General features: G+C 44.8%; 1 protein-coding gene across 13 annotated transcripts in view; it reads left to right on the top strand.

Annotated features, from left to right (window-relative positions):
• TG (thyroglobulin) overlaps positions 1-23,304 on the top strand; it is a 267,942-nt gene that overhangs the window by 53,302 nt on the left and 191,336 nt on the right. For 11 of the 13 annotated variants that reach the window (NM_003235.5, XM_017013794.2, XM_006716622.4 and 8 more), the window contains 5 exons: positions 3,079-3,249; positions 8,817-8,933; positions 13,302-13,417; positions 15,497-15,605; positions 21,092-21,283. In NM_003235.5, coding sequence (NP_003226.4) covers positions 3,079-3,249; positions 8,817-8,933; positions 13,302-13,417; positions 15,497-15,605; positions 21,092-21,283 — 705 coding nt within the window. The remainder of the gene's footprint in view (positions 1-3,078; positions 3,250-8,816; positions 8,934-13,301; positions 13,418-15,496; positions 15,606-21,091; positions 21,284-23,304) is intronic. The other 2 variants (XM_005251038.5, XM_017013795.2) reach the window with 2 other exon arrangements.

Below are 23,304 nucleotides of genomic sequence, written 5' to 3' on the forward strand. Positions count from 1 at the left end.
CCATAACTTGCCTTGTTGTGCATCTCTTCTTGTTAGTCTGAAACTGTGTCAATGTGAAGGAAACTGTTGTGCTTACAATCCAAATAATTTCTAGAATTTTTAAAACAAGTCATCAGAAAAGATCAAGATACTTTCTTTGCTCAGGGCAGTTTCCTGGTCAGGAAAGCAGTAATAATAGAACAGTAATTCCAATAAAATAAAAGTAAAAGGAATTTTATAGGCTGAGAGTCTGGCATTCTTCCTGGAGAATAAACTCTTCACTGGGAAAATAGAGTGTCCTTGACATCTGGGCATCACCCTCAGTTTGTACACAATGACTTGAGTACTTGTAGTTTGAGATGACTTGAAGTGCTATCAAAATACCAGAGAAGCACTTTCTTAAAAGAAGATTAATGTAGTGTGCTGAGCCTTGTTTATGGAGGGGATATGACAGAAATGGCAGGAATAGAGGACACAGGTTGAGGCTTGCACCAGCCAGACCAGGTTTGATCACCACTCTCCCTTCTTACTGGCACTGTGACCTAGACAAAGCTACCTTCCTCTTCTGAATGTCAGCTCCCTCCTGTATTGGGTGGAGCCAATGATAACTCACTCACAGGGTGGTAATAAAGGGTGTCTTAGGTCAGGCTGCTATTGCAAATTACCATACACTGGGTTGCCTAAGCAACACATTTGTTTCACACAGTTCTACAGGCTGGAAGTCTGAGGTCAGTGTGCCCACATGATTGGGTTCTTGTTGAAGGCTCTCTTTCTGTTTATGTCCTCACATGGTCTTTGCTTAGTACCTACACAGAGAAAAAGAGAGAAAAATCTCCTGTCCTTCTCTTTCTAATAAGGGCATTAACAACATCGTGGGGGCTGCACCCTCATGGCCTCAGTTAAACCTAGTTACTTTCTAAAGGCCTCACCTCCAAATACCATCACACTGGGGATTAGAGCTTCCATATATAAGTTTGGTAAGGGAGGGACACAAACAATCAGTCTGTAGCAAAGTGGAATCAAAATGTTTAGCATAAACAATAAGCATTTATTCCCCACCCATTTTGGGGGTGAGCATTGATTGCATTTTCATGCAGTAGTAGAGAGCTGTATTGAATCATTGCCATTCTCCCAAACATCTTCCCTGAGCAGTGAAAGAGATTTTAGTGAATGGTTCTCTAGGATCAAGGTTGGAGTCTGTGCTAAGGATCTGTTCATACCTAAGAAACTTCTCTATGACTCATTAACCCGCATTGAATTACCAGGCCTGTGTTCTTAGATGGAATTGTACTGAAGAGAAGCACAGGGCAGAAGAGTCTGCCAAGTTTTAAATAATGCCAGATTACAATATTTCTTTGATTTCCTTTTGGTGTTAGGTTAGCTTTTAGAATCCCAACTCCTCTATATAGTTCAGGTCTCTATTATTGATCTTGCTTATACTTTTCTCCTACATTTTATAACTTAGCTGGTTCACTGGACCATGTTTGAGGTTCTGCTGATAACTCTTCAGCAGAAGTAGCTCTTCATTTACTTGTTTGTTTATTGATGTATTAACTCATGTATAGCATGCAGGACATGCAAAGTATTCTATTTAAAAATAGCCTTTGTAACCTCCCACAAAAAAGTTCTTATTAATCAATGGTGAATCACATAACCAATAGTCTGGAAATATAGAAACTCAGATGTTATGAAATCTCTGGGCTGCCATAAAATATTATCTTTCACCTACTTCCCAGACCTGGAGAACCAAATGAAGGCATTCCCTTTTAATATCATTCATCCAAAATTTATTGAGTACCTGCTTTCTGCCAACTGTATAGTGGGTATATATTAAATAAAACAAGTAATGATAAAGTCCCTGTCCTCAAGGAGTTTAGAGTCTGACAGAGAAAAGAAACGTGTGAGCATATCCATGTGATGTAATGAATAGTATAATGGAGGTACATATTAGATACTGTTATAGCAGCTTGTGAGAGGTCTTGAAGGACAAGGGGACATTAGCTAGGGGGCCCGGTGGAGAAAGGCCTTCTAGGAAGAAGAAACAGCTTGAACATGGATATAGAGGTATTCATCCATGGATTTGACTAGCATTTATTGATTTTGGACAGAAGCTTGTTTTGTGGGTCAGACACTGAGCAAGGCATTTGGATACAATAATGAGCAAAACCATACCTGGTCTGTGCCTTTCTGGAACGTCTATCGAGTGGGAGGCAGGCAGTCATCAATCGTTCATTCACACAGGAAAATGGGAATTGTAACAGTGTGCCCTGCTGTGAAGGAGAGGTGTGGGTCCCTGGGATAGTGTGTAACATTTGGGCCTGACTGGGCTGGGACGTCCAGAGATGTCTTAGTCCATTTGGGCTGCTATAAGAAAATACCATAAACTGGGTGGCTTATAAACAGCAGAAATTTATTTCTCACAGTTCTGGAGACTGGGAAGTCCAAGATCAAGTTGTCAGCAGATTTGGTGTCTGATAAAGGTATCACAGATGGCGCCTTCTCACTGTGCCCTCACATGCTGGGAGGAACAAATGAGCCCCCTTGGGCCTCTTTTAAAGGGTACAAATCTCATTCATGAGTGTTCCACTCTCATGATCTAGTCACCTCCCAAAGGCACCACCTGCTAATACCGTCACACTGGGCACTGGGTTTCCACATGTGAATTTTGGCAGGTGGCACCCATAGATTTAGACCATAGTAGGAAGGCTTTCCTGAGACAATGAGAATTGGGATGAAAACAGGTGAGTGGTGGAGAGTTCGCGCAGCAAAGACTGGGGGAGCTGTGGGCCAGAAGAGGGCCCAGATGAGTAAAGCTTGTGTTGGAGCAAATGGTATCAGAGAGATTGGTGTATTCAGGGCATGGAATGAAGCAGGTGGTGTGTGAAGCATGGGGTATGTGTGCAGAACTTAGGGTGGGTGGCGGCCAAATCACAGGGGCCTTATTGATCAGAACAGTGGGAACACTGAAGAGTTTTAAGCTGGAATGTCTGAGTTAGATGTGTGACTTGGACACCTTGTCAATGACCGAGAGCCTGGGAGTAGGAGTCAGGGGATTCCAGAGGCCCATTATTGACGGCTATGTCAATCTATTGGTTCTAGGTGTCACTGACTGTCAGAGGAACGAAGCAGGCCTGCAATGTGACCAGAATGGCCAGTATCGAGCCAGCCAGAAGGACAGGGGCAGTGGGAAGGCCTTCTGTGTGGACGGCGAGGGGCGGAGGCTGCCATGGTGGGAAACAGAGGCCCCTCTTGAGGACTCACAGTGTTTGAGTAGGTGCTGGGGGTGAAATCAGTCATGGTTCCTGGGGACTGGGGAGTAGTCTCAAGGGCTTTTTAGAAAGGGAGAGAAGCTGGAGGTGCATTTGTCTCCAACTTTTTGTTTTGAAAAATTTTAATCTGTGTAGAAGTTGGAAGAACCGCAAAATGAACAAATACCCATCACCTAGATCCAAAAATTGTTAACATTTCACTCTCTCTTTTTTGGAATCATTTGGTATGTAAATTCCAGATATCAGGAACCCTTACTTCTAAGTACTTCAGCATGCACAAGAGATGAATTTTTATATTAAAAGATCTGTGGAGGCCTCCATTCTTCTAGGCAGCTTGACTTCACTAATCTAGTCAGCATTTCTTCCTCAGTAGGACGTTGTAGAGCAGCAGTCCCCAACCTTTTTGGCATCAAGGATCAGTTTCATGGGAGACAATTTTTCCACAGACCAGAGGTGGCAGGGTGGGGATGGTTTCAGGATGATTCAAACACATTGCATCTATTGTGCATTTTATTTCTATTATTATTGCATTGTAATATATAATGAAATAATTATACAACTCACCATAACGTAGAATCAGTGGGAGCCCTGAGCTTTTTTCCCTGCAACTAGATGGTCCCATTTGGGGGTGATGGGAGACAGTGGCAGATCATCAGGCATTAGATTCTCAAAGGAGCATGCAACCTAGATCCCTCACATGCACAGTTCACTATAGGGTTTGCTCTCCTGTGAGAATCTAATGCTGCCACTGATCTGACAGGAGGCGGAGCTCAGGCAGTAATGCTCACTCTCCCAATGCTCACCTCCTGCTGCGTGGCCCAGTTCCTAACAGGCCATGGACTGGTACCAGTCTATGGCCCAGGGGTTGGGGACTTCTGTTGTAGAAGACTTGTGTGCCAGGCCTTGTTCCATATCTTAATTGCTGGGTGATCTAGAGCAAGTTGCTCAATCCCTCTGATCCTCAGTCTCCCCAGTGGCTTTCAGTCTATTTCCTGAGAATCAACATGAACCTATAAAGTCAACAAATACGTATTGAGCTCTACCCTGTACCACGTACAGTTCCTCAGTGAGATACTGGATGGGAAAGTCCCAGGTAAACCATCAGATATGCTACAATATATAGTGTGATGGGAACCAGAGGAACAGAAGAGAAGAGTATGTCCTGTGGGATCAGAAGTAGTTTAATCCCAGTGGTGCCTTTACTGGCTGTGTAGTCTTAAGCAAGTCACTCACCCTCAGCAGTTTCTTCGTCTGTAAAATGGAGACATCAGTTTCCCCCGTTGTAAGAGTGTTGAGTGCCTTAGCAATGGCATTACCTACCAGCGGTAGTAAATGTCTCAGAATAAGAAGGCTCAGAAACAGTATTTGCCCTGTTTCCCCATCTGTTAAACTTGGAGGGAGGCTGAAACAGTCTGCAAGGTCCCTTAATCCTGATATCTTCTCAATCTTTATGACTCTGTTCCACCTTTCCCTGGAGCCACCTGCCTCTGCTTGAGGTCTTGTGGCTAACCTTTGCACATTTGACAAGCCCAAGCAAGCCAGTCTCTTAGTATTTCTGTGGAAGGAGAGGGCCTAACATACATGGGCTTACTGTGTGCCAGGTGTTTTATGTGTTTATCAAATTTGAATCCATGGTAGTCCTAAAAGGTAGATATTATTGCCAATATTTTAGCTGAGGAAACTGAGGCAAAGAATGTCCAAGCACTTCTCTTGGTTCCATAGTTAGGATAGAATATACCTAGAATTTGAATTGGTGTATGTCAAACCACCAAACCTTTGTATTCTTCATTCTACCAATCTGTTTCCACCTAGATTTACCTGCTTCCTCAATAAACATATCCTCACATACACACACATATGCATGCATAGCCTACCTGTCCTCCAGGGAAGCTGGTACAGCTCATGGGATAAAACATTAGTGAAAATCCAAGTGAGAAATTTTCATTTTCTAATTCTCAGAGCAATCATTTCCCTTCTCTAGTGAAGTGCTAACAAGTCCTAAGGAGTGCGTGTGTGTGTGTGTGTGTGTGTGTGTGTGTGTGTGTTCTTGAATAAATTGCAAATCCAATGAAAGTCTTATTTTTTTCCCAACATCCCTCTTCTTGGGCAGAAAAAAACAGGGGAAGTACAGCAGGAAAGTGCTTTGAGAGATCAGTTAGCCAGATGCTTCACAAATGAAGGAGACTGTGTCTTTACAGAATACAACTTGCCCTGCGGCCCTGGTGATCACCATCAGTCCTGGGATTATTGTCTTACGTGCTCTGAGCTCTCTTTGCATCTCTGTCAATGGGTTGGCCTTGAGGATTGTCTTATGCAGTTTGTAGGGCATTTCATGGTGTATTCTGCCCAGTGTTCAGGGCAGAAAGAACAGTTTAAACAGTGGCACCAGAAGTGCTCACGAGTCACAGCTGAGCTTTGACAACTTTGATGATGCCTCCCTGAGGCGCTGGCTTCTGAATAGCCTCCAGATAGAGCTTCAGCATCTTTGGCTTCTTATGCAAAGCTCTGAGCTTAAGTTTCCCTTTCTGGATATGCCTGGGGATTTCTATGCCACTAAGCTGGGCCCTCACTGGGATGTCAACACATCTCTTCTCAGAATTGCCTTTGAGAGGAACTTTCTCTTCGGGAGTAAAATGTTTAAGGCTTTTGTCCTTCAGGCTAGGTCCTTAAGCAAGGGACTTATACCTCCCCAGACAGGTACCTACCTGAGAGGAATTTGCTCCTTCCTCAGCCCTCTTGCCACTTCCTTTGTTCAGGCTTCTGCTGTTACCTACATGGTACTGCCATACCTGCCTAACTCATCTTCTTGCTTCAGTCCAACAGTTTTTCTATGATGCTTCTAGAGCTGTTATTTAAAAGGAGATTCTGCCTATGCAATGCCCCTTAAATCTCTTCAGTGGTTCTTCATTGCTCTTGGGATAAAGCACCATTTGCAGTATCCCAGCCTCCCCTCTGGGCTCTAACCTCATTAGACCATATGTTCCTTTGGGGCTAGAATTGTATCTTATTTCTTATTCTATTCCAGGGCCATAGGTACTCTTTGACAGAATGAATAAATTTCTCTAGTTGTCTGGGATTCTTTGAAACTATTTCCTAAAGGTCTTCAGGGAAGGAGATTCTTCCACCACCTCAATTCCTGTGGTCAATTTTACAAGCCCTGAGACTTAGGAAAGGTGTTCTGCAGGGGACAGAGGGACTTAGCACTTACTGAGTGGTTACCATATACCATATACCATTCCATGCTATATTATTTAGTCCTCACAACCAGAAAACTGAAACTCTCAGAGGTTGCAAGGTGTCCAAGGACACAGAGCTGGTGGTGGCATCAGGACTCGAGCTGAGGGCTCACTCCTGAGTTGGTGCCTCTCCCTGACTGCCTGCTGCCTCTCTCTCTGAAATCTCTCCTGCTGCAGCTTCCTGGCACTCCCTTTGATCTTCTGTTTCCTTTGTTTACTTGCAGAGTTAGTAAAAAATATTTCCACCTTGCTCACTGGAAATATTTCCAGTTCATCTTCCCTTTAACTTTAGGTTCATTTTCCTAATTCTGATCTTTGTCAACCTATGCTGAAGATTTCATATACCACATCAAGTGCCTGAACAGAGGTATTTACATACCTCTGTTCCAATATGTGTGTGCACGTTGTGTGTGCATATGTGTGTACACGTTGGAATTGTGCCATCATAATGTTATCTCCTGGTTTCCTGGTGTTGTGATGATGTTGTTAGTCATTCATTTGCCTATCCCTCCTTTCCTCATATTCTCCCTCCCTCCCTCCCTCCATCCATTCAATATACAGGAAAGTAGTCTCTCTGTTACTATCCTGGCTAGTGAGGGTTCAAATATGATCAGAATATTGCCTTTGCCCTGGAAGGAGATGGGAACCTAAGTAGCCACAATAAACTATGCAAAAATGATGAAATATTAATATATACTGTGCTTTAATGTTAACCTTTTATGCTTTCCTTAAGACATTTGTAAATAGCCGTTAAGTATAAATTGGATAAATGGGAAATTATACCAACAGAATGTATAAATATGCAAACTGACTCCATTGTCATAATTCATTGGCAAATTGGTTCATGGATTGTTTCTGTTCTGCTTGGCCATGAGCTTCTTCACAGAATGCTGAAATGTGAAGATCTCTATCACCAAGGTGTCTCTTTTCTGAAAACCAGCAGATTCTCTAACTGAAGTGCTAAATTTACTGTATTTTTGGCAGAATTTAATTAGAAACTGAAAGACCTTTCAAATTGTATTTAGTCTCCTAGAATATTTTGAGCATCTGGTCTGTACCAATCAAGACTTAGGGACACTGTGATGATTATAACATGGCATTTGCTGGACTGGAGCTTGCAGTCTCTACAAATGAGCTACTAAAGGGTATAAAAATATAAAAAGAGATGAGAGAAGAAGGGCTTTGTGTGGGCAGAGCACGTGAAATTGGCAACTTCAGCAATTAACATGGATGGGCCAGTTTGTAAAATCAGAATTCTTTTCTCTATCAACACTTTTGAAGGCTTAGAGCATGCTGGGATCACAGGCCTGAGCCACCGCGCCTGGCCGAGCATGTCATTAATGCTCACTTCTCTCAACCCAATCCCAAAAGGAATAAACATTTTTTTTCTGCACTTATTATGAAAGCTGAGAAAAAATCACTTTGGATGGCCTTGAATTTATTGACTTGATGAAAACCCATCTAGATATAAGTCTTTTTTAATAAAGCAATGGATGTACATAATTAGTGCTTGTATATATGTTTATAATTATGTTTGCAAAAAACCAATACTCATGTGCCTTTGAGGTTGTACATAAGTTTTTCTTTTTGACAGTTACCCGTAAGACTGCAAGATATTGACACTCTTGGGAATTTGTGGCTTGGAAGGTGAATCTCATTCCTTGAGAGTTAGCCTCCATGCTTTCTTTTTTGCTTGGTGAAGAAAAAGTTCCAACTCTCATAGCCCTGAGAAATTATATTTCTTCCTCCTCACTTGTCTAGTTTTATGAGCTTGTGACTGTTATTCCTATCAAATGGAACTCAAGTGTGTTGATGGTAGCTAGGAAAACAGATGCTAATAAATCACTTAACCAATCTTAAAAATGCCTGAGCCACATGACATGTCTTCAGATTTACCTAAATACATATGCACATGTCTTTTAAAAAATAACTTACCTCATTTCGGAAAGAATTCAAGTTGTTTTACAGAAAGAAAATGCCAGTAAAATAGTTATATGATGTAATTAGCACTGAAGGATAGGGACAGAGAAATATAAGTTTATATTATCAATGTTAATGAGAAGAAAATAGTTGTAAGGACTAACATTAAATTTCCGCCTCACTTCGTGACAATGAGGTAGAAGCAGGGAGAGCTGGTAAGTTGTAACTCTCAGTTTTAGATATGGAGCAGTATGTTGGAGCTACCTTACAAAGGAATTGCTTTTCCTGGGACATTTGTGTTACCAAGAGCTACGAATGGGTATTGACTGCTTGACCTAACAGTCTTTATGGCTTCTCTGCAGATGCCCTACACCCTTCTGAGTCAGATTTACTAAATCTGCTTTATTTTTAGTGATGCAGAAGTTTGAGAAGGTTCCAGAATCAAAGGTGATCTTCGACGCCAATGCTCCTGTGGCTGTCAGATCCAAAGTTCCTGATTCTGAGTTCCCCGTGATGCAGTGCTTGACAGGTGAGGAGTGGTGGGGAGATATGCACTCAGAAGAAGGTGTGGAAATAAGCTCTGCTGAGAGTTGTCGAGACAAACCAAATCAAACCATTAAAACTATAATTTAAAAACATACTTTATCAAAAACACTATAAATGAATTGATTTCCAGAATGCATATTCAATTCATAACTTAATTGCAGAGTTGACAGTTTATCTACTGTATGCTATCCACATGGCACATGTTAAGGAGTAGAAATGAACAAAATTAGTTTGGCATAGATCTATGTGTCCAGGTCAGGATCTATATCTCCCTATTTTAACAGTGGGGCCAGAGAGGTGGTAATAAAGGCTGCCATTTATTGAGCAATGTATGTTTACAAGGATTATCTCACAATCCCAAAGCCACCCATAAACTGGCCATTGCTATCCTGAGTTACAGAAGACAAAAATAGTTTTAAGAGTGTAAGTGACTTGCTCACTGACATAGAACCAGCAAGGGGTCAGGGCTTAAATTCAAACCCAAAGTAACAACATCAAAGCCTGCAGTCTTTTTTTGTTTTAAATGATTTTATCTTTGGGGTGCACGAAAATCTCAGACTTTACCACTATACAATTCATCCATGTAACTCAAAACCACTTGCATCCTAAAAGCTATTGAAATAAAAAATATTAAAAAATAATCTCATCTTTGATTTTAGATTTAGGGGGTGTGCATGCAGGCTTGTTATATGGGTATGTGGTATACTGCCGAGGCTTGGGGTACGATTGAGTCCCTCACCCAGGTAGTGAGCGTAGTCGCAATAGTTAGTTTTACAACCCTGTGCTCCTCTCTGTATTCCCCCCAAGTAGTCCCCAGTGTCTATTTTTGCCATTTTAACACTGCATTATGCCTGCCTCAGTACCCACATGTGATGTAGTTATTAAGTAATTAACACTCTGAGTGTGAATCTGTTTTGGATATCAGCTTTGGTTATGGTGAGCACACTATAGTTTGTTTCACAAACACAGTGCAAGGCATGAAGTAGAAGCTGGAGGAAATATTTGTAGAATGAGAGATATTGACAGGAATGGAGGGACAGAACCAAGTGGTCAAATGAGTAGATGTGAGGAATCAGCATGAGGATGGCAGACTTGAGGGACAGCTTTGGCAGTTATTTGTCTCAACAGGGATTGTCATATACCTGCTCATGTGTGCGTGCACTGTGACACAGCTTAAGTTAGAAGGGCAGGCAGGGCGTGGTAGCTCACGCCTCTAATCCCAGCACTTTGGAGACTGAGCGGGGGTGGATCACCTGAGGTCAGGAGTTCGTGACCAGCCTGGCCAACATGGTGAAACCCCGTCTCTACTAAAAATACAAAAAATTAGCCAGGCATGTTGGTGGGTGCCTGTAATCCCAGCTACTCAGGAGGCTGAGGCAGGAGAATTGCTTGAACCTGGTGGGAGGTGGAGGTTGCAGTGAGCCGAGATCGCTCCATTGCACTCCAGCCTGGGCATCAAGAGTGAAACTCCGTCAAAAAAAAAAAAAAAGGAAGGGCAAACTGGTGGGATGGGAAGCAAAAGAGGATGCAGAATCTTAGGGAGTGAGGCAAGCAGGGAAAACACGTCCATCTGTTCATGTCCAGAGATGGTTTAGCCAACTGGGCCACTGAGTTCAGTGTCTAAAATATGCTGAGAGAAAACAGACAACAGTTAGAAAAAAGAGAGCCACATCAAGGAGGTCCAGCAAGATGCCATCCTATCAGACAAACGAGAGCAGAGCAATCCAAGACAAGCAGTATTTGCAGGTTGAGTACAGGTCCAGGCAGGCATCCAGCACTGTGTTAGTCTGTTTGGGCTGCTGGGACAAAATACCGTAGACTGGGGGACTTAAACAACAAAATGGATTTTCTTGTAATTCTGGAGGCCAGAAGTCCAGGATCAAGGTGTTGGCAGGGTTGGTTGCTTCTGAGGCCCCTCTCCTGGGCTTGTAGGTGACTCACTTCTCCCTGTGACTTCACTTGGTCTTCCCTATGTATGTGTCTGTATCCTAATCTTTATTTCTCATAAGGACACCAGTCCTATTGCCTTAGGGCCCACCCTAATGATCTCATTATGCACTTAATTTACCTCTTTCAAGACCCTAACTCCAAATGCAGTCACATTCTGTGGTGCTTGGGGAAGGACTACATGATACAAATTGTGAGTTTAAAACATAATTCAGCCCATAATGAAAAATCAAGGTGGTTTTACGGTAGATCGAAGGGCCATTTAAGGGGTAGGAAAATAAAGCCACTGAGTCAATGAAGGGTTGGATATCATTGTTGGTGGGGAAAGGGGAGACTGGTAAGAAAACCAAGGCATCTAGAGAACTAAGTAGCATGATCAGGAATAGGAGAGAAATGTGGATTGTTGGGGGTGTGAGGGGAAGCTATGGTTGGGGTCATGGTAGGAACCCTGGTTCTAGTTCAGCACTTAACCAGCCAGGGTCTAGGGTGCTCATCCTTCTAACACTGACTCAGAACTTTAATTGTTTTCTTGACTGAATTTGTCCCTGAGCCCGAAGCAGGGATCTGCTTGCCGTGAAGATTAGGTTAGTTCAGTTAAGGGGACAGGAGAACTTTAGAGCCATGAGCCAGTGGACCAGTAAGAATTATTTTCTTTGGAGCTGGGCACAGTAGCTCATGCTTGTAATGCCAGGACTTTGGGAGGCCGAGGCAGGTGGATGGAGACCAGCCTGGGCAATGTGGTGAAACTGCATCTCTACAAAAAAATAAAAATAATAATAATACAAAAATTAGCCAGGCGTGATGGTGCGTACCTGTAATCCCAGCTACTTGAGAGGCTAAGGTGGGAAGATGGCTTGAGTCCAGGAGGCAGAGGTTGCAGTGAGCCAAGATCGTGCTAATGCACTCCAGCCTGGGCAACAGAGCCAGACCCTGTCTCAAAAAATATTTTAAAACAGAATTATTTTTTTGGGGGGGGTGTTCTGAATAAGCCACACAGTTTCTGGGTAAAATGACATCATCGACCTCTCAGTGCCTAGTTCATAAAAGACATTACAGCCATACAATGCTGAGATGAAAATCAGGAGATGATGAAAACCCCCAGAAGACCACCTCTGCACCCAAGAATGTCATCTCAATAGAGCTGCAGTTTGTGAGATGTCCTGTTAGAGAAAAGGAAGACATCTCTATCCCAGATACCAGTGGCTTTCCCTCGCCTTTCAGCTGGGCAAATACAGGGGGAAGGGCTCAGGAATTGGATTGCAAAGGTATTCAAGTTACTGCTTTGCTCCCATCAGCCACAGACTGTGCTGATTTTTAGTCTTGGTGTTCCCATCTCTAAATTTACCTCTTACCTAATGCAAAAATCAGTATTAATAATATATGTGAAAGTGCTTTGTAATGATAAATGTGTAAGTGTATGCTTTTTCTCCTTAATTTACATTTTCTACCAAAACCTCCTATCCCTGTTAAATCATTAATTGCCATCGTTACTCATGAATATTACACAGTTGAATGCTTCATGCCTATCACACAGTGTCCACAGAAAGCAGCTGTGGTCCCTGCCCTCATTAAGCGCATGGCCTCCTGTCATCTTGAGAGGGCACTCACTGTAGGAAGTGGGGATTCTATTCTATCATTCAATCCCTTGCAGGGCTGCTGTCTGCTCCTGATGGAAATGGGACATAGCCTTGAACAAAGTTGTGATCTCAATGGATACCTAGATTTGGCTCCTCATAGAATAGAAGCAATTAAAATGTATAAAAGGTTTAATTTAGGCAGATACAGCTTAGTAACTGTACAAGTTCTGAAGTCTGACTACTTAGATTTCAATCCTAGCTCTGCCACTTGGTAGCTTTGTGACCTCCGTGAGTAAGTGCCTGAACGGAGCTGTGCTTCAGTTCCTTAACTGTAAGATGGGGGATCGATGATTCAATACACAGAAAACACTTAACACTGCATGAGGTTCATGGTACGTACTTAATAAATGTGTGCTTATATGTGTGCTTGTGGGGGTATATTTGGGGGGTGTATTTGGGTGTATATTTGTGTGTGTGTGTATTTGGAGGTGTGTGTATTTGAATGTGTATTTCTATGTATTTGTGTGTGTGTTTGGGTGTTTATTTGGAGGTATGTGTTTATTTTGGTGTATATTTGTGTGTGTCTGTGTGTCTTTAGGTGTATATTTGTGTGTCTTTGTGTGTTTGGAGGTGTGTGTGCCTGTGTGTGTGTATATTTGTGTATTTGGAGGGGGGTGTGTGTATTTGTGTATCTGCATATTTGTGTGTGTGTGTGTGTGTGTGTGTGTGTGTTTGGGCATGTGGGGCAGGGGCAGGGGGATGTGTCTGCTCTGCCCTCAGCATCCCCCGGGAAAGCCAGGTGAGTGACCGTCCCATGGTGCTTGCAGATTGCACAGAGGACGAGGCCTGCAGCTTCTTCACCGTGTCCACGACGGAGCCAGAGATTTCCTGTGATTTCTATGCTTGGACAAGTGACAATGTTGCCTGCATGACTTCTGACCAGGTGAGGTGGGGCAGCCACGTGTGGTTCTGCTCCTCATCCGCTGTGGATCAGATGTGCTCTGAGGAGCGGGCAGCAGGCTGGCCAGGCGATGGAATGAGGTTGTCGAGAGCTGATCCTCTGTTACCTCCATTTCTTCAAAGCAATGGGACTTTGGCAAATTGAAGCTGTGATAGTCCAGAGACAGACCCAAGATGAAGCTGGAGTAAGGGGCGTCTGCTTGAGCCTTGTGGCTTCCTGACGAGTCAGTCAGGAGAGAACCACCTGCCCCATCAGGCAGTGTGGGCAAGATGTGAGGGGGCCCTAAACACCACTGCCCCTTGGGGTCCCAGACCCGAATATGCCTTTCCATTGTAGAAATAAAACATAATCGTGGTTGGAGGGCACGGTGGCTCGCATCTGTAATCCTAGCACTTTGGGAGGCCTAGGCGGGTGGATCACTTAAGGTCAGGAGTTCGACACCAGCCTGGCCAACATGGAGAAACCCTGTCTCTACTAAAAATACAAAATAATTAGCTGGGTGTGGTGGTGGACACCTGTAATCCCAGCTACTGGGGAGGCTGAGGCAGGAGAATCGCTTGAACCCGGGAGGTGGAGGTTGCAGTGAGCTGAGATCACGCCACTGCACTCCAGCTTGGGCTGCAGAGTGAAGACTCCATCAAAAAAACAAACAAAAAAACCTATAATTGTGGCTTAAAAAGGAAAACAAGTTAAATATTAGAACCACATAACATTGCTGTTCTGTGAGTCAAAGCTTATAGAGTATTGTCAGTTTCATGTGGTACCATCAAATTAGGATAATTAGACCCTGTCCTCCTCCAGTGGAAAGCAGGAGTCTCCTGTCTCCTAATTTCCCAATTCATAAACACGTGCTCGTGCATAAACACGAGCTCTTCTCAGGTCTGCGGGAATGTCTTCTTTCTTTTTGCTCTCCAAGGCTCTTCCTCCTCTCCCCAGGCCATTGCCTCTTCAGTGAGTTCAGGCTTTCTGCAAAGCAAGAAGAGCTGTTGCCTTCAAACAGCCTTGCTGTAGCCCCTGTCCTCCAAAAATTCCCACAGGAAACTCAAAATTTGGCAGCCTTGCGGGGGAAGGCAAAATACTGGGAACAAAACACACCAATTTATCCTACCTCATCCACATAGCAAGACTGCTGAAAGTAAGTCAGAAAGAGAGATCAGAAAGGGCCAAGAATTGCAAGATCTCTGGAAGTCTGACCTCACCATCTCCGAGCTTAAGAACCTTCTTCTAGATACTCCCTGGATAGAAACTAAGTGCCTGTAAGGTCTTTCATAGCCAGCTCCAGCCTCTCTCTCCTCTCCCGTCACTCCCCTCTCATAACTGACAGTCCAAAAATTACTGAATTACTGAACCTAGTTCTGAAAACACCCATGAAATTCTGGGTCCCTGAGTCTGCTGTTTCCTCTGCTTAAAATCAGCCCTCTCTTGTTTCCATCTGGCAAACTCTTTTTTTTTTTTTTTTCTTTTGAGACAGAGTTTCACTCTGTCGTCCAGGCTGGAGTACAGTGGTGCAAACTAGGCTCACTGCAACCTCCGCCTCCCAGGTTCAGGTGATTCTCTCGCCTCAGCCTCCTGAGTAGCTGGGATTACAGGCAGACGCCACCACACCCGATTAATTTTTTTTTTGTATTTAGCAGAGATGGGGTCTCAACATGTTGGTCAGGCTGGTCTTGAACTCTAGACCCCAAATGATCCACCCGCCTCGGCCTCCCAAAGTGCTGGGATTACAGGTGTGAGCCACTGCACCCAGCCCAGCAAACTCATTAATATCTCAGAACCTCACTCAGACTCACTTTTTCTGGGAAACTTTTCTAGCTTCTCTTTCTGAATGGAATCAATTGCTCCTTCCTCTCTAATTACCTCTTCTTTAATTATATGTATCTTTGCAGCTAACACTCCTGGCTGCAAGTTACTGCTTACACATCTGTCTCCTCCAATAGACCAGGAGCAACTAACTTACCTTTGTAGCCCTGGTGCCTAGCCATGGTTAGGGTTGGATGAATGTTTGTTGGATTGAATTATAAAGTATTGCAGGATAATAATGCAGCATCTTTCCATCTCCAGAAACGAGATGCACTGGGGAACTCAAAGGCCACCAGCTTTGGAAGTCTTCGCTGCCAGGTGAAAGTGAGGAGCCATGGTCAAGATTCTCCAGCTGTGTATTTGAAAAAGGGTAGGTTGGTCAGGCTGGTTGGCTTAGGCCCGCGGTGGCTTCACACGGTCATGTTTGGAGCTGGTTTCCAGCAGGTGCATGTGAGGAGGAGCCAGACTGTCCCGCTCCCCACTCCACACCCTCAGTCTGGCTTCTCTGAGCTCCATCCTTTGGCAGACTCAGCACAGCACGCTCCTCAGGCAGGCACTGATCTCCCCTGGGACTGCAAAGATATTTCCACATCATTCTCCTTTGTGCCTTCAGGTTTGATCCCATTGCAATCTAGCAAGGATTGAGAGCCTCATTCTGCAGGCAGAGCTAAGTTGCAGAGTGGACACAAAGCTACGAAGTGAAGGATCTTGGCAGAACCCGCTGAGTTCAGCCTGTGCCGTCTGGAAGGCCCATGCGGCCCAAGAGGCTGGGCAAACTGCTCACTGGGGCCTGGGTGCCGGGCTCCCAGCAGCTGCTCCTCCCGGGCTTTCTGATTCATAGAGCTTCTCCTTCTCCTCACTTAATCTCTACCCTCCCAGGACGTTTTCCTCCCAGTGAACCCAGGCCCTGTAAGGTGCAAACCTGAGTTAGTAAATCATTGGTGTCAGGCCGAGATCTAGCCTTTCTAATCACCCCTTAGAGAGTGCCAGTGCTGCTGGTCCGGGGACCACACTTTGAGTAGCAAGCTGTGTCGTACTGTATAGTTTATGACTTCCTTTCTCATTCATCTTTTCATTTCACACTCATGGAAACTCTTGGAGAAAGGCACAAAGGGGATTCCAATCCCCATGTACACATAAGGAAGTCCTCTGGGCCGCTGCTGGCACGTGGGAGAGGCAGGAACTCTTTCCCTGGAATCCTGAGGTCTGCGCTCGCTCTTCTGCCCCACCCTGCTCACCCCCTGCCTCCTCTCCGGTGGGGTGGAAAGGAAACATGCCAGCAAGGCACGCTCTGAGCCATGCGCTCTGGGCCATGGCCAGGCTCTGACCTGTGACCTGTGGTTCCTTCATAGCTGTTAAGGGCTGCAGAGCAAGGGAGGACGGTGGGGCCCGCCTGCCTGTGTGGAACCCCTCCTCTGCCACATATGAGCTGCATGGTCTTGGGCCTGTTCCTTGACATTCTCAGCTTCAGTTTCCTCCTTAGTAAAACAGGAGTCATGGTGGACCAAGGTCATCGGCAGATTGGAATGAGGTGACACATGTGAAACTGTTAGGACAGGGCTGGGCTCATGGGGAAAGCTCAGCGAGTGTAGAACATTTCTGTAATCATCTTTGTTCCTGCTAAAAAGTTTCCTGAGGGCCCGAGGCCATGGCTGTGCACCAGATGACAGCCAAAGGGGGCTCGACCTGGGACTTGGGGGTTGGGAGAAGGGGAGTACAGGTGTCACTCTCTGAGGTTCGTAACTCAGGGCAAGTGGCTCGGGGCTTCCAGCAGCTTCAGACTTGTGCCAGGAAAATCAGCAAGTGGAGACGATGCCACAGCCCAGGCCCAAAGCTGCCCTGACCTTGGTAGCAATTGCGAGCCCACAGCAGGGACAAGTGTTTGTGTATTTTTCCCTGTGGTCCTTCTTTCACCTAATGCCTTCATCCCCACTTCACAAAGAGTTTGCCTGGGAGATTGGAATCTGGCAGAGCTCGGCTCTCTCTAATCTATGACCAGGGTCACTCGGATCTCTCTAATCTAGTGACTAGGGTCACTCGGATCTCTCTAATCTAGTGACCAGGGTCACTAGAATTTCTGCTGCAATCTTTATTCCAATTATTTTCATTGTCCTGTTTTTCTTTTTAAATAACAAAACATAGGGATTATTTTCTAAAAATAAAAATCAAAATAGAACAGTAACCCCTACCCAAAATGTCCTTTAAAATCATGACTTACCCTTTTATGACATTTTAAAAAATGCAATTGTATTTCTGTTTAAGTGTTTATTTTTTTTTTCAACATCACACAGAAAGTCCTAGTGTTTGTTATTTTTATTTTTCCTTTTTGTCTCCTGAAAGTTTGTACTTTGGGGGAAAGTTACAAAGGAAATTGGGAAAATTCCTTGTTGCCAAACTAAATCAAGGGCAGAACTATGTTTTGCTTTTTTTGGTTTGTTTTCCTTTTTGGTTTAAAGCAGAAGATGTGCCCGGCAGCCGTTCTAGACCCGGGTGGAGTGGAGGAGGAGGGGAGGAGGAGTAAGTTGGGTCTGGCTTCCAACTCCCGCCTCCCTCTTCCTGGCTCTGTCTCTGATCAGGAACAACTTCTTTATTTCACTTGAAACTCAGTTTCTCCTCTGTAAAATGGGACTGTGTCACAACCGAGGAGGACAGGACACAGTTTCTGAAAGTCACCCACACACATCTTCAGCTCGCAGTAGGTAGTTAATCATGTCCATTCCCATCTCTGACCTTCAGTAACCTTCAGTGGGACTAAAGAAAGGGCCTGAGTCCCAGAGCTTGATCTGTCACCCAATACCCTCTGCTGCCTACTCCCACTTAATGTCTGTGGCCTTCAACTTGGGGGATGAGTCGTGGGGTCTCTCAGAATCAAAGGATGTCAGTGCCCAAAGGTTCTTTAGAGATTATCTAGCCCAACCCCTCATCTCACAGATGAGGTCTAGGAAAAGGAACCATCTTACTACATGTGACATCAAAGTGGAACCTCCTCTGAGTCTGAAAGGCCTTCCTGGCCTGCTTCATTGTCTAGGCTTCTACCACTGCGGTGCAATAAGCACTTTTGTAGGCACTGTGGATACATCTGTGAGCAAAACAGAATCACTGATAGGGGAATAGAACCAGCAATAAGATCATCTCAGAGGGCAGTAGGTGCTTGGATGAAAATGAAACAGGACGAGGAGGTAAAGACGGGTATGAGCTGCTTCAGGGTGGTCAGGGAAGGAATCACAGAGGAGGGGACATTGGAACTCTGATCTGAAGGATGAAAAGCAGCCCATCGGCCAGGCGCAGTGGCTTACGCCAGTAATCTTAGCACTTTGGGAGGCCGAGGCAGGCAGATCACGAGGTCAGGAGATTGAGACCATCCTGGCTAACACAGTGAAACCCTGTCTCTACTAAAAATACAAAAAATTAGCTGGGTGTGGTGGCGGGCGCCTGTAGTCCCAGCTACTCGGGAGGCTGAGGCAGGAGAATGGCATGAACCCAGGAGGTGGAGCTTGCAGTGAGCCGAGATTGCACCACTGCACTCCAGCCTGGGCAACAGCAGGAGTCTCAAAAAAAAAAAAAAAAAAAAAAAGCAGCCCACCATGCAAAGCTCTCAGGATAGGTGCCCTATGTGGAAGATACCAAGGGGAGCTGAGATGTGGCCCTGGACTCCAGAGCAGCACCGTCCAATGGAACCTTTGGCAGTGATGGAAACGGTCTACAAATCTGTGCTGTCCATTAGTTACTCATGACTATTGAGCATTTGGAAGGTTGCTATTGCAATATTAACTTTGATTAACTGACATTGATTTTTAAATAGTCACATAAGGCTATAATTACGGCATCAAACACTGGAGAATCACATGCTGTAGGGGAGGCCGACTCTCTCAAGTAGCTTAAATACAGGGAGAGGGACGGTAGAGGGTTTAGTACAGGCACAAAAAGAATGTATGAGGGATCAAGGGAGAGAGAGATGAATTCTAACTGTACAAATGCAGAGATGGACCCTTCAAATAAAGCTGGGCTTTGGTGAAGAGTGGATTTGCATTCGAGGCAGAAGGGGCTGAGTGAGCCAATGCTTGGAGGGAGAAGACGCTGGCTTTTTGGAGATACATAAAACATCTGCTGAGCATAAGCTAAGTGGCAGGCTCATTGTTGTTCAGCCCTTTTATATATAGTCTATGGGGTTTTTTTTTTTTGTTTGTTTGTTTGTTTTTTAAGATGGAGTCTCACTCTGTTGCCCACACTGGAGTGCAATGGCAGGATCTCGGCTCACTGCAACCTCTGCCTCCCAGGTTGAAGGGATTCTCCTGCCTCAGCCTCCTGAGTAGCTGGGACTACAGACGTGCACCATCACACCTGGCTAATTTTTGTATTGTTAGTAGAGACGGGGTTTCACCATTTGGCCCGGCTAGTCTTGAACTCCTGACCTCAAGTGATACACCCACCTTGGCCTCCCAAAGTGGTGGGATTACAGGCATGAGCCACCATGCCCGGCCCCAGTATATGTTTTTTTTACCTGCTCAATGTCCTTGAGGATTACTTATTATCATCCTCATTGTACAGATGGGAAGCTTGGGAGGCTGAGGATCCAAGGAATTAGGGACTTCCTTGGCAGGGTGACCTCAGATCTGTTTGATCTGAAGCTCGTGCTCTTGGGTCTCACACTGAAAACCTCTCTATGACGTCCAGCTGTGTGAGTCAAATAAGATGGGGTGATCTGCCAGACTGACGGGAGGTCAGAGTGGTGAAGGGCACAGGCCCTGGTGTTCTGTCCACCACTCACTGGCTGTGTAAACCCGAGCCAGACAGTTCGCATGTCAAGACTTTTCCTCAAATGGAAAATGGGCATAAGAATGGGGCAGACATTTAGGCTATAGTGCTCTATATATCTATCCCTGAAAAATCTCATGTTTGCAAAGTGACACTCTAAAATTAACAGGGCTGATTTGAAAACTAGACTTAGGGACGGGAAACCCAAACCGTGCCACTTTTAGGTAGACCAATGGAAAAAAACATTAACAATTCTACTTAAAAATGCTAGAACAGTTTTTAAAAAGATGTTTTGAATTCATAATAAAGAAATGCTTCTGAAAATGTAAAAGAGCAAGGTAGCTTGATGGGGAGGGTGTAAGGAAGGGTTGAGGCTGCTGAGTTATGGAGACAAGGGCTGCTTGCACAAAGGGAAGGGAAAACTCTGCAATGGTCACTTTGAAGACAGCCCCTGGGTGGGGCCAGTTTCAGGCAAGAGGAAGAATGTGGGATCATGGGTATTGTGTACAGTCCTGAGTTCTTGCAGTTTGTTGCATTCAGCTGCATTTGTCTACAGAGCATTCCTTTAATGATGTTTGGTGGCACAAGGCAATGACATGCTCAGAAAACTGTAGATAGTGCAAGCAATGTGACTTCAGCATTACAGTGGCCAAGCTTCCCTACCACATGTTTAAACTAATTTGTGTGACAGAAACACTTGTGATAGCAGAGCAAGGCGGTGAAAATCAAATGAAACCACGTAGGTAGAGCATGTGGCACAGGGTCTGTGTATATACTTACAGTGCAATACATATTTGCTGGTAATAATAAACATAAAAATATATGGCCATTTTCTACACATACCCTTTGGACCCTTGAAGACGTGTTGGGCATTTGTCCCGATCTCCTGGGTTTGGGGCCATGGCCTTGGCTGGCCCCACCCTCTTCATGCACAGGCACATCCAGAAGCTTTGTGGCACAGAGAGCATCTCATCTTGGCCCACACGCTGCCTGGAGCACTGTTGCAGCTAAGTCAACAAACTGTCCTGTGAGATCAGTAAGCTCTGTCCAACTCTGCCATGTTTTGAGGTCTTTTAAAATTTTGTTCTGCCTTTCCCCCAGGCCAAGGATCCACCACAACACTTCAGAAACGCTTTGAACCCACTGGTTTCCAAAACATGCTTTCTGGATTGTACAACCCCATTGTGTTCTCAGCCTCAGGAGCCAATCTAACCGATGCTCACCTCTTCTGTCTTCTTGCATGCGACCGTGATCTGTGTTGCGATGGCTTCGTCCTCACACAGGTTCAAGGAGGTAATGTTGGCAGTGAGGGCCAGGGCCTAACAAGGGATGGGGAGCACACAGGGATGCAGAAGCCAGGACACACAACATGGAGCTGCATGGGGAGTACAGTGTGAGTGCCTACACCCAAAGAGAAGGTGACAGTCAAGTACACAATACACACATGATACTCACATTCACATTCCACATGTTGCACACTGTGCTGGCCCCTTCACCTTGTAATACTGGTTTATTCCTTTCTGCTGTCTTTACGGGGCATATTGCAAGCTCCGTTTTACACACTGAGAAACTAAGGCTCAGATAATTTAAATCATTTGCTCATGTTCAGACACCTTGAAAAGTGATAGAGCCAGGATTTGACCCAAGTTGTGTCTTCCACAGCACCTTACTGTCACTTGTGAAGCCAGGACTGGACATATTTGGTCCAAAAATGTCAGCTCATTCCCATTTCCCACCATCATTCATTCAACAATGATCTATTGAGTGCCCACTGCATACCAGGTCCTGTGATCAATAGGCCTATCATTTTGAATAGTATCTCAGCAATGGAGGTGCCCTTCTGTTTATGGAAATAAATTCATGTACTCAGCAGTGTAGCCTAGTGGTTGAGAAGGGACTTTGGTGTTATGGACCTGGGTTCTAGTCACTGCTGTCACTTTCTGGCTGTGCGATCTTGGACAAGTTACTTAATGAAGTTGCACTTCCCTTGTTTATAAAATAGAGATAATGATACTTTCTACTGGACTACTTGTTATAAAGATAATGAGTGCAAAATGCTGCGTATAGATTTGGCTCCTGGTGTGCCATTGATTGACTAAGAGAGTCTTAACTGTTTTATATGAAAACCAATCCTGTTTCTCCTTAGCAGCATCAAACTGTAAGCCACTATGTGACTGGTCACATTAAATTTATGAAAAATTCTAAAGATTAGAAAAAATTGAAATAGTCTGATATATCTTGTTATGGTTCTCACTTAAGTCAACAGGAGACTCCAATTGATCACCATATATGTGCAATGGAATGTTCTAGGCATTACAAACAGATAAAAAGGACTTTGGGTCTGGTGGGAGAGGCAGTGTGCACCGTGAAAGGGGAATAAATGGCCTTTACTCATTTATTCATCGCTGCTGGCGTTCAGCAAACATGTTTGGAGCACTACTCGGCATCAGGCTTGAGAACTAGGCAGTGTGCGATGCAAATGCCTGATGAGGTAGAGACGTAGAAGTCTTGGAGTGTGAAGGAAGAGGATAACAAGAGGAAGGTCAGGGAAGGCTTCCAGGAAGAAGAGGAACTTGGGCCAGGCTTTGTGGGATGAGCAGTACTTAGATGACAGAGTGGGAGGATTTGGTTCAGAGTGGGTGTCCTTGTGAGCTGAGCTAGAGACAGAGAGACCCCAGGTTTTCTGAAGGCTATTAACTGAGACATGGAGCTGATCAGGAAGCAGGTGTTTTTTGGTATCACCTCGAGGACTGTTGCTGCCTCCAGCATCTGCACAATATCCCCACCAGGCTCAGGGTAGAGGATGTCTCCTTCTGAGAAGGACTAACCCTGCCTCCTGGGTATAAGAGCCCCTTGTCTTACCTTTGCAGGCCCATGCCTGATACAATTTGGATGTTTGTCCCTCCTCATCTCATGTTGAAATGTGATCCCCAGTGTTGGAGGTGAGGCCTAGTGGGAGGTGTTGGGTAACAGGGGTGAATGGCTTGGTGCTATCCTCGTGACAGTGAGTGAGTTCTTCTTGCAAGATCCTTAAAAGTATATGCCACCTCCCCCTCTCTCTAACTCCTGATCTCCTGTAACATGCCTGCTCCCCCTTCACCTTCTGTCATGAATGTAAGCTTCCTGAGGCCTCACCAGCAGTAGATGCCAGCACCATGTTTCTTGTACTATCTGCAGAATCATGAGCCAATTAAATCTCTTTACTTTATAAATTACCCGGCCTCAGGTATTTCTCTATAGCATTGCTAGAACAGCCAAGTACAATGCCCCTGCCCTCCTCCCTGCTCTCCACCTGTCACCAGCCCAGTGTTTTC

This window comes from Homo sapiens, chromosome 8 (genome assembly GCF_000001405.40).
Source record: "Homo sapiens chromosome 8, GRCh38.p14 Primary Assembly".
NCBI classification, from domain to species: Eukaryota; Metazoa; Chordata; class Mammalia; order Primates; family Hominidae; genus Homo; species Homo sapiens.